The sequence below is a fragment of the Homo sapiens genome, chromosome 6 (genome assembly GCF_000001405.40).
Source record: "Homo sapiens chromosome 6, GRCh38.p14 Primary Assembly".
Lineage (NCBI taxonomy): Eukaryota > Metazoa > Chordata > Mammalia > Primates > Hominidae > Homo > Homo sapiens.
In genome coordinates, this window is record NC_000006.12 from 166898351 (window position 1) to 166907865 (window position 9515).

Genomic DNA, 9515 nt, shown 5'->3' on the forward strand with positions numbered 1-9515 from the left:
TCATTATCGCTCATTTACTTCTAAAAGGATGGCCTCTGCTTGGAGGGAAAAAATGGGCAATTGAAGCAGAGTTAAAGCATCGTTAGGGCAATATGCCTCTGTCTTTTTAAAGCCTTGGGCTTGTGAGGCTCACTGGTAGGAGATAAAATGTGATGTGAGCACTCAGATACCCCCAAACACAGACAGGAACGACAAACACTGGCATTGAGTAAGTGCTCTAACACCCAAACTCAGGACCACGCCCTACCTGTACATGTTACCTTATTTGGAAATAGGATCTTTCAGATTTAGCAAGATAAAGGAATACTGCACATGGGTGGGCCCTAAGCCAATGATTGGTGTCCTAATGAGAACAGAGAAATTTGAACACACTTGGGGCAGAATGCCAGGTGAACACACACAGGAACAATGCCACGGGAACACACACAACGGGGAGAACGCCATGTGAACACACAGAGGGGAGAACGCCAGGTGAACGCACATGGAGGGGAGAACGCCGGGTGAACGCACACAGGTGGGAGAACGCCAGGAGAACGCACACAGAGAGGAGAACGCCGGGTGAACGCACACAGTCGGGAGAATGCCGGGTGAATGCACAAAGTAAGGAGAAAGTTGGGTGAACTCACAGAGCTGGGAGAACGCGGGGTGAACGCACACAGCGGGGAGAACGCCGGGTGAACGCACACAGGGGGGAGAACGCCCGGTGAACGCACACAGAGGGCAGGATGCCGGGTGAACGCGCACAGTGGGGAGAACGCCCAGTGAACGCACAGAGGGGAGAACACCGGATGAACGTACTCAGCGGGGAGAACTCCAGGTGATCGCACACAGAGGGGAGAACGCCTGGTGAACGTACACAGGGCGATGCATGCACACAGGTGGGCGAACGCCGGGTGAACGCACACAGCGGGGAGAACGCGGGTTGAACGCACACAACGGGGAGAACGCCAGGTGAACGCTCATAGAGGGGGAGAATGCCGGTTGAACCACAGAGTAACAGAGTAGGGAGAACGCCGGTGAATGCACTGGGTGGCGGGGCGGCGGGGGGTGTGGAGAACGCCACTTGAACGCATATGGGGGAGGACGCCAGGTGAACGCAAAAAGAATGGACAAGGCCTGGTGAACGCACAGAGAGGAGAATGCCACGTGAACACACACGGGGGAGAATGCCTCGTGAACGCACACGGGGGAGAATGCCTCGTGAACGCACAGGGTGGAAAACCCCGGGTGAAAGCACAGGAGGCAGAACGCCACGTGAACGCTCCCTGGGAAGAACTTCTGGTGAACGCAGGGGAGGAAGAACGCCGGGTGAATGCACAGTGGGGAGAACACCGCGCTAACACACACGGGTAATAACTCCACATGAACACACATGGGGGAGAACGCCGGGTGCGCGCACAGGGGAAAGAACGCCAGCTGAACGCACATCGAGCATGGAGTCCCAAAGTGATTATGACCTAAGCAGCCAGCCAGGGCTTTACCCTGATATGGAATCAACATTTTGTCCCTTGTCCCCCCAATTCCTGTGTTGAAATTCTAATCCCAAGGTGCTGGTATTAACACCTTGGGATTAGAATTTCAACACAGGAGAGAACCTCCAGTGAGCGCACAGAAAGAAGAACGCCACAGGAACGCACAGTGGAGAGAATGCCATGTGAAGGCACAAAGAACGGAGAACGCTGCGTGAACGCACACACGTGGGGGAGAAAGCCAGGGGAACGCACAGAGTAAATAGAACGCAATGGGAACGCACAGGAAAGAGAACGCCACGGGAACACACCGGGGGAGAACGCCAGGAGAACACACTGAGGAGAGAACTCCGCGTGAACACAATGCGGGAGAACTCCAGGTCAACGCACGGAGAGGAGAACGCCTGCTGAATGCACGGGGTTGGAGAACGCCGGTGAACGCCGGTGAACGCACGGGGAAGAGAACGCCACGTGAACACACGGGGGAGACGCCGCACGAACACACAGAAGGGAGAATGCCGGGTGAACACACACGGGGGAGAACGCCCACGCGAACGCACAGGGTAGAGAATTCCGGGTGAAGGCACAGGAGGGAAACGGCGCGCGAACGCTCAGCGGGGAGAACGCCTGGTGAATGCACGGGAGGGAGAAGGCCAGGTGAACGCACAGGGGGAAAATGCCGCGCTAAAGCACACGGGAAATAACGCCGAGCAAACACACAGGTGGGAGAACGTCGCACGAACGCACAGCGTGGAGAACGCGACGTGAACGCACACGGGGAAGAACACTGCGCGAACGCACAGCAGGGAGAACGCCACTTGAAAGCAAAGTGAGGGGAGAATGCCGCGTTGAACGCACAGTGGGGAGAACAACCCGCGAACTCATAAAGGGGAGAACGCAGCGTGAAAGCACACAGCGGGGAGAACGCCTGGGGAACGCAAAGAGTAAAGAGAATGCCTTGGGAACGCACAGGAGAGAGAACGCAACCTGAACACACGGTGGGGGCTGGAGGAAGAACGTCGGGAGATCACACAGGGAGGAGAACGCCAGGTGAACGCACAAGAGAAAACGCCTGGTGAACGCGCAAAGAAAGGAGAAAGCCAGGTGAACGCACAGGGAGAACGCCGCACAACCGCACAGGTAGGAGAAAGCCATGTGAACGCACAAAGAAAGGAGAACGCTGAGTGAACGCACACAGGGCCGAGAACGCCAGGGGAACGCACACAGTAAAGAGAACACCGAGAACGCCGTGGGAACGCACAGGAGAGAGAACGCCACGTGAACACACGAGGGAGAACGCCGCGGGAACACACAGAAGGGCGAATGCCCGGCGAACGCACAGAGGGGAGAACGCCAGGGGAACACGCACGGGGGAGAACGCTGCGCGATCACACAGCGGGGAGAACACCGGGTAAACACACACTGGGGAAAACACCGCGTGAACGCATAGAGGGGAGAACCCCGGGTGAACACACAGAGGGGAGAGCTCCGTGTGAACACAAAGGGAGGAGAACGCCTGGTGAGCACACACGGGGAGAGAACACCGCGCGGACCCACAAGGGGGAGAATGCCTGGTGAACGTACAGCGGGAGGGGAGAACGCTGGTGAACGCACAGCGGGGAAAACGCCATGTGAACGCACAAAGGAAGGAGAACGCCAGGTGAACTCATACAGGGGGTAGGAACGCCAGAGGAAAGCACACAGTAAAGAGAAGGCCGTGGGAACGCGCAGGGGAGAGAACGCCGGGAGAACACAGAGGGAGGAAAATGCCAGGTGAACGCACAAGGGGGAAAACGCCTGGTGAACGCACAAAGGAGAAAGCCAGGTGAACGCACAAGCAGCAGAACGCCAAGTGAACGCACGAGGGGAGAATGCTGCGCCAACACACACGGGAAACACAACCGCGCGAGCACGCAGTGGGGAGAACGGCACGCGAACGCTCAGCAAGAAGAACGTAAGTTGAACGGACAGCGGGGAGAACGCCGCCCTAACACACGCGGGAAATAACGACGCGTGAACACACAGCAGGGAGAACGCCGCGTGAAAGCACAGGGGGGAGAACGCCGCGTGAATGCACACACGGGAAATAACGCCGTGTGAACACACAGCGGGGAGAACGCCGCGTGAACGCACACAGGGGAAATAACGCCGCGCGAACACACAGGGGGAAGAACGTCACAGGGACGCACAGTGGGGAAACGCCATGTGAACGCACAAAGAAAGAACGCCACGTGAACTCGCACACGCGGGGAGAACGCCGGGGAAACGCACACAGTAAAGAGAACGCAGTTTGAACGCACAGGGGAGAGAACGCCACGTGAACACACAGAAGGGAGAATGCAGTGCGAACACACAGAAGGGAGAACACCTGGTGAAGGCACAGAGGGGAGAACGCCGAGCGAACGCACAGGGTGGAGAATGCCATGTGAACGCACAAAGAAAGGAGAACCCCTGGTGAACGCACACAGGAGAAAGAATGCCGAGGAACGCACAGAGTAAAGAGACCGCCGTGGGAACACACAGGGGAGAGAACGCCACGTGAACACATGGGGAGAACGCCGCGGGAACACACAGAAGGGCGACCGCCTGGTGGATGCACAGAGGGGAGAACGCCAGGGGAACACACACAGGGGAGAACGCTGGGCGATCACACAGGGTGGAGAACGCCGGGTAAATACACACTGGGGAAAACGCTGTGCAATCGCATAGAGGGAAGAACGCCGGGTGAACACACAGGGTGCGTTCTTCCATCATGCGGCTGCGCCTGAGTCTCTGAGTCTACTCTGGCTTAGAAGGCTGCCTGATTCGCAAATTGTTTATTGCTCAATTACATGCTTTTAAATTTAATTCAGCTGAAGTGTTTCTTTTCTCACGGCCCACCCACTAGATGTGGCTCTGTCACTGGTGCTGGCCAGTGGGGCGTGGAGGGACCGGTGTCCTTCCCAGCACAGACACAAGGAAGCGGCTGTGCCTTCTCCACACTCTTCTCCCTGACTCTTGGCTACAGCTGTAAACCCAGGGTTAGATTCAGGGGCCTGTGACCTCCAATGGGAAAACAACTGCATTATTTGTACCTCATATTTAGTATTTCCATCAATTATGAGTGTAGGCAAAAAAGCACAGTAGCTTCAGCAGGACTGGTGTTTTGCTGGCAGTACAAAACATTTTCATATCCTATTCCTTGCTGTCTTGTGTTTTCTTTAATGTGTTAAAAAATCTTATTCTGAGACCATCAGGCCACTGGAAGGGGTTCATGGCACAAAAAAAGATGCAGCCCAGCAATAAGGTGAAAGAGAGATGACGGAGCCACTGGACACAAGAAGCCTTGCACCCTGAGTCACCCCGTGGAGCACTGACGAGCCTCGGCTCCTGATTCATTATGCGGAGTGCTGCCTAGTACCAGGAGCAACAGCACTGGACAGGGACATGAGTAAGAAATAAAACTTCCAGAGCGTGAAGCTAGTGAAATGATGGGATGTGTTTATCACAGGGCTAGCATCATCCTAACCAGCATGGAGACATGCGGGGCTGTGAACGGGAGCCTAGAGCTGCAAATTAGACAAGCCTGGGCCAGGAGACCTTTTGCAGGCTGCAAAGCTGCTCTCTCCTTTGCCTCCTCTGTACCTCAAAGGACCTGGGGTGGTGAAGGGAGTTGTGGGCCGACCTGAGTCAGCCTGAACAGGCTGTTCCTTCAGCAGATTCCTCAAGCTCTGCCCCGGCCCCTTCCTCGGCCCACCCCAGCTTGCCCTCCAAGGGGTATTATCACTGTGACCCTCGTCTCCTCCTCCTGTTCAGGCTTTGCCTTGGCAGCGCAGCAGTGCCCCTCTGCAAAGGGGTCTCGCATGCTGTTCAGCAGCTCTCTTCCCGCCACAGCGATGGGCAGCCGGATCCCAGCTGGAACTCCGCCACATCCCAGGAATGTGAATACCAGTGGAATCCGGATAGGACGGTGTGACCCAGGCACAGTGGGTGAGAACCGGAGCTTGGCTAGCAGGCAGGGGTTCAGCTGCTTCCTGACCTGTGCCCTGGCACCTCTGACCTGGCCGGAGCTTCTCAGGCAGTGACCACTGCTGAAACTTTGAGACCCCAACATGTGTGGGAGCATTTCTAAGCCTTCCTTGCATGGACACACTCCTCCCTAACGCTGTCCCATTTTCCAGACAGGGTCTCACCCACCCCGCACTGCTGCCCCCAGTGCTTTGATTCAGCCCCTCAGCTGTGAATGGAGTTGGTTCCTCATATGAGATCTCAATAAGACTATGGTGGGAGTCGGCGTAGAGCAGGGAAAGCCTGGACTTTCTGCCAGAAGGTCGGGGTGGGGCAGTGCAGGCCACGGCACCTCCCGGCTCTGTGCACAGGGTGGGCCACCCCAACCCGGCTCCTCACACTTCACGGCATGCAGCAGCCTCCTGGGCCCTGGGAACATGCAGACTCTGAGCAGCAAGACTGCGCAGGACCCGACATTTGCATTTCTAAACAGCTCCCAGGGGACGCCAATGCTGCGGGCTGAGGCCCACGCTGGAGGAACACCGGCCAGTGGGCAGCTTTGGGTGAACTTCAGAGTGGGTGGAAGCGCAGCTGCCCCGCCTGCCCCCACGGCTGCTGCGCGATCAGGAAACACAGCACACTCCTAAGTGAGTCGTCACCATGGTGACTTTTGGATTCCCACTGCCAGTTCCTGTGGAGTCAGAGAGATCTTAGCTCAGAAGTGCTGACAGCAGGGGCTGGCTGGCCACTGGCCACATGGGAAGAGGAGAAAGGCAGCAGGAGCCACCGTGAGGCAAATGAGCTACAAGACGCCGCTCCGTCTGATTTCCCGCCACAGCTCCCAACACAGGTGAAATGGCTCAGAACAGCTCAGCATGTCCTACTGAGGGGCAGGAAGGATGCTGAGAAAATCCCAGGCAGCGGTCTCAGCTGGGATGTAATTTGAGGGCGAAAAAGTTGTGTTGCTTGCGGTTTCTTCCTTGCTCCTTGCAGGTTATATTTGAAATGAATGTCAGAGCCATGCGGCCGCTGCCAACTAATTCCCAGCTAAGAAGGTAAACACCAGCATCACCTGGGTCTTCTGGTCTACCTGATTCTGCAGCTCAGAGGGAACCATGCAGCTGGCAAAAATGACAGCGAGGGCAGGACTATGACCCAATTAAAGGAATGTGAGTTAAAACATGGGGAGCCAAACACCCAAATTCCAGCCTGATCCTAACTGTATGTAGGCATTAAACCCTTATGCTGTCATTCCCACCACCGAGTAGAAAGTGTGGCACGTGGCTTTGTATCACTGTAAATATGATTCTATTTTACTGGCCTTCAGCCTCCCTCCTTTTGCTCACAGCCTTTACTGCAGCCAGCAGAGAGGGGCACTGCCTCCAGCACAGCCCAAGCGAGCTGGCTTTCCATGGAGGCTCGAAAGGGCTCCCTGTCTCCTGCACACTCACATGGCTTCTGCTGCTGGACACGCACATAAAAGCATGTTTGTGAAGCCTTGCATGGAATCCACAGCAGAGGTGCAAGGAGATCCAGGGGTCTTGACCTCCTGAGATTCTTTGGGGCGGCAGGGGTCGGGCGTTGTATAGCGATATTTACGTTTTTTCCATTCTGGAAACCACAGAGACAGTGGGAGGGGGAGATTCTCTGGTCAAGAAATGAAATAGAATGGAGAAGCAGAGAGAAGAGGAATGAGGAAGCTGGGTGGTACCAGGTCTCCCTGAAGAGGGATAGGGGGGCTGGGTGGTACCAGGTCTCCCTGAAGAGGGATGGGGGGCTGCGTGGTGCCGGGTCTCCCTGTGCTCACAGCACCGTGTGTATCCCCTTCGAGTGCCATGGGAGGTGTGTGACTTCTCTGAAAGGCAGGAAGCGGCAGGGACCACATTTCTCCTGTCACCCGGGTATTCCCAACCCCTGGCTCACTGCTTCTCCCCCAGAGCAGGAACTCTGCAGACAGTTGCTGAATAAACAAGTGAACCAATGAATGAAATAAAGGTGAGACCCAATGGGAAATGCAAGAGTTGCCAGGAACAGCAGGAGGACCACACTCCTGGGAGATCTCCCACGCCATGAATTATACCACCACACACCCACACGCATGCTGCCCGCGCTGTGGAAGCATAGCACAACCCTGTGTATGGAGCACACACCCCCCCAGAACACAACTCCATGTGTGGGAGCACACTCCCTTCCAGAGCACAACTCTGTGTGTGGGAAAACACACCCCTCCGGAACACAACTCCATGTGTGGGAACACCCCTCTGGAACACAGCTCTGCACTCACCCCTCCAGAACACAACTCTGTGTGTGGGAATACACACCCCTCCGGAACACAACTCCGTGTGTGGGAACACCCCTCTGGAACACAGCTCTGCACTCACCCCTCCAGAACACAACTCTGTGTGTGGGAATACACACCCCTCCGGAACACAACTCCATGTGTGGGAACACCCCTCTGGAACACAGCTCTGCACTCACCCCTCCAGAACACAACTCTGTGTGTGGGAATACACACCCCTCCGGAACACAGCTCCGTGTGTGGAGCACTCACCCCTCCAGAGCTCCTGTACTTTTCCCTTTAGGCCATATAGGACGCTGGTCAAAGAATTTCCATCCAGGAACCAGCTAGGACTCCCAGGGTCTCTTCAGGCCTTTCCCACTGCCTTCCCATCATCCCCAGCAGAACACCCGTGGTCCTGCAGCCCCGCAGCCTGCAGTCACGCTCTGTCCTCCCACTCAGCAGCATGAGGGACAAATTGTAAATTTCTGCAGCAGGCCTTTGTTCCCGCCAGCACCGGGCTGTGTTTGCCTTTCCGTGCCTCGCATGCTTTCAGGCCTGAGTCCTCTGGCTTCTTTCCCCACACTCTCTCCTCTGACCACCAGTTCCCTGCCTCTAAGCTATTGCTGCAGGTTTTGCCAACGCTTCTTCCTTCTCCACTTCCTGCACCTTCGCATGTTCCTTGAGGCCTTGAACCCCTTTCCTATGCTGCCCACTCCTGTTCCCAAGTTGCACTGCCACCCCACCATCTCCACCCACCGCTGCTGCATGCCCTGTTCATTACCTGCTGATGTCATTGCTGCCACCGTCCACCCACCCTGAAGGCCCAACCCGCTCTCCCCACCAACTCCTGATGCCAGCTCACCTCCCTGCCCGGCCCCGCTCTCCCCACCAACTCCTCAATGCCAGCTCACCTCCCTGCCCGGCCCCGCTCTCCCCACCAATTCCTCCTGCCAGCTTAGCTCCCTGAGCAGCAGCCTTCAGCAGACACAGGGCTGGCTTCCACGCAGTGGTGAATTCATGAAAGGGGCCCTGTTCGTGCTTCTCTTGATCTCTTACCACCTGGATTGGATGAAAATCTGCCTGGATGTCTTTATTACTGGCTAGTGAATCCTAACACATGGGCTTTCTGAGTATATCTTAATTTAATCCATCTTGCATTTTGCCAATGGTTCCTCATAGTCAACCTCCGAATCAAGGTGGATATCTTTCTTAAGCTAAAACATGTAGAATAAAAGCCACTTTTATTCAGGAATTTTCTGAATGTTCCTCTCCGCTGAGGACCCCCACTCTGTCCCCTAACCCACACTCCAGGGCAAGACACCAGTTCCTTTCTCCCCACTCCTCAATGGCTTTCTCAGCTGTCGGACACTAGGTAAGCAGCTTCCTCAACGGCTCATCAGCAATGGACTGAGTATTACTAATTTTAAAATAGCCCTTGAATATTATTGATTCATGTGGTTTTTCTACGAAACACAAACTTAGCTGCACTGTGCTTGCCTGGGACTTCCTGTTTCATTTTGGCCCAGCATATCTCCCATGCAGAGCACATGAGAAACCCTTGTAAGATAATGAAGGCAAGAGGATGGGGACTGGGCAGTGTTGGTGGCTGCCTTTTGTGTCTGTCCTTGGTTCACCAAGCAGTCTATGGAAGACACGACAGTCGGGGAGAGCTGGCTGGGGCCGGGGGCCTAGGTCTGAGTGTCTGCCTGACCGTGCACCTGCGGAACCTCTGGCAGGTGGCAGATTCTCCAATGACTCACAAAGGAATCAGTGTCTCC

General features: G+C 55.7%; 1 long non-coding RNA gene across 1 annotated transcript, besides 4 other annotated features; it reads left to right on the forward strand.

The window, feature by feature from the left end:
* Window positions 3433–3932: an enhancer, noted in NCBI's record as "H3K4me1 hESC enhancer chr6:167315271-167315770 (GRCh37/hg19 assembly coordinates)". NCBI's record gives its function as "activates a minimal SCP1, AML or CMV promoter by ChIP-STARR-seq in primed H9 embryonic stem cells {active_cell/tissue: H9 hESC(primed)}" and the evidence as "EXISTENCE:reporter gene assay evidence [ECO:0000049][PMID:30033119]".
* Window positions 5103–5784: an enhancer, noted in NCBI's record as "H3K27ac-H3K4me1 hESC enhancer chr6:167316941-167317622 (GRCh37/hg19 assembly coordinates)". NCBI's record gives its function as "activates a minimal SCP1, AML or CMV promoter by ChIP-STARR-seq in naive and primed H9 embryonic stem cells {active_cell/tissue: H9 hESC(naive and primed)}" and the evidence as "EXISTENCE:reporter gene assay evidence [ECO:0000049][PMID:30033119]".
* Window positions 5348–6719, forward strand: RPS6KA2-AS1 (RPS6KA2 antisense RNA 1). Its single transcript, NR_046644.1, has 2 exons — window positions 5348–5438; window positions 5950–6719. It is a non-coding gene; the product is annotated as an RPS6KA2 antisense RNA 1 (long non-coding RNA).
* Window positions 5785–6465: an enhancer, noted in NCBI's record as "H3K27ac-H3K4me1 hESC enhancer chr6:167317623-167318303 (GRCh37/hg19 assembly coordinates)". NCBI's record gives its function as "activates a minimal SCP1, AML or CMV promoter by ChIP-STARR-seq in primed H9 embryonic stem cells {active_cell/tissue: H9 hESC(primed)}" and the evidence as "EXISTENCE:reporter gene assay evidence [ECO:0000049][PMID:30033119]".
* Window positions 9436–9515: an enhancer, noted in NCBI's record as "active region_25440". NCBI's record gives its function as "activates an Ori minimal core promoter by ATAC-STARR-seq in GM12878 lymphoblastoid cells {active_cell/tissue: GM12878}" and the evidence as "EXISTENCE:reporter gene assay evidence [ECO:0000049][PMID:35858748]".